Genomic DNA, 1,006 nt, shown 5'->3' with positions numbered 1-1,006 from the left:
ATCAAGGCCTACATATCTGTTCCAAGATATAGATTGTATATTTTAGCAAAAGAAGTTTTCTTTCGAGAAAAGGAGTGTCATGTAGTTTCTAAAAGTCTTTTACTGAAAGTTTGTTGGATAATTATTTTTCTAAAAGTTCTTTGTGTCCTTCTTCATAGGTGAAGTATAACAACTCATTTGGTGTGTGTGTTTATAAACACACAAGTTAGGATATTTTATTTCATAGTGTTGACTGTTAAATATTGATAACACCTTCAGATTCTACCCTCTTTTTTGAATGATCTCATTTTGTATTAGTTAAGGAGCCTGGATGTTTCATATGGATGAAAATTATTTACTGTGTGGATGTTATCTACTATTATAATTTATAGAGTGAAAGTAAGACAGACTGTCTTTAACAACTTCCATTTTTCAATGTCTTTCAACTTAGTGCTTCTTTTTCATGGCTACACCTGCTTCAACATTCATATGAAAACTGAAAACATGACGATAATATCTAGTGAGACGGGACCCAAATGTCTAACAGATACTAATATGTGAAAGGTACAGCCTGGGGACAGGCTTAAGGTGAGAGGTAGACAGCAGATCTAAGTGAGCCCAGGGGCCATAACCCTCTTGGTAATCACGAGAAGCCTGAGAGTTCACTGTGGACATAAATGGGTTCAGCTCTAGCCTAGAGCAGGCAGGTTTATAAAGCTTTTCTTTGCCTTTGAGTTGACTAAGCCTTTTTTCTTGGTCTTAAGAGGCATTCTAGATTTTAAAGGTTTGTTTCCTTTTATGACAGAAAGCCATTAGTCCTTTGGGGAAGGGAAAGTTCCTTCTCAGATTTCTGGCTACAATCCTGGTAGTCTGTGGAAAACGTGACACATACTTTTAGATATGTGATGATTTGGGATAGGGTGTTGATAGACCTTGGTCATGGACTTGAAGAAGCAAATGACAGGCCTAACCGGGACTACTTGCTGCTGTTCACATTTTAATACATGTACAGCTGAGGCAGGTGCAC

General features: G+C 37.3%; 1 annotated feature.

Annotated features, from left to right (window-relative positions):
- Positions 535–584: a silencer, noted in NCBI's record as "silent region_16158". NCBI's record gives its function as "represses an Ori minimal core promoter by ATAC-STARR-seq in GM12878 lymphoblastoid cells {active_cell/tissue: GM12878}" and the evidence as "EXISTENCE:reporter gene assay evidence [ECO:0000049][PMID:35858748]".

This window comes from Homo sapiens, chromosome 5 (assembly GCF_000001405.40).
Source record: "Homo sapiens chromosome 5, GRCh38.p14 Primary Assembly".
Lineage (NCBI taxonomy): Eukaryota > Metazoa > Chordata > Mammalia > Primates > Hominidae > Homo > Homo sapiens.
Note: the sequence above shows the minus strand (reverse complement) of the source record. Positions and strands in the feature narration are given on the sequence as shown.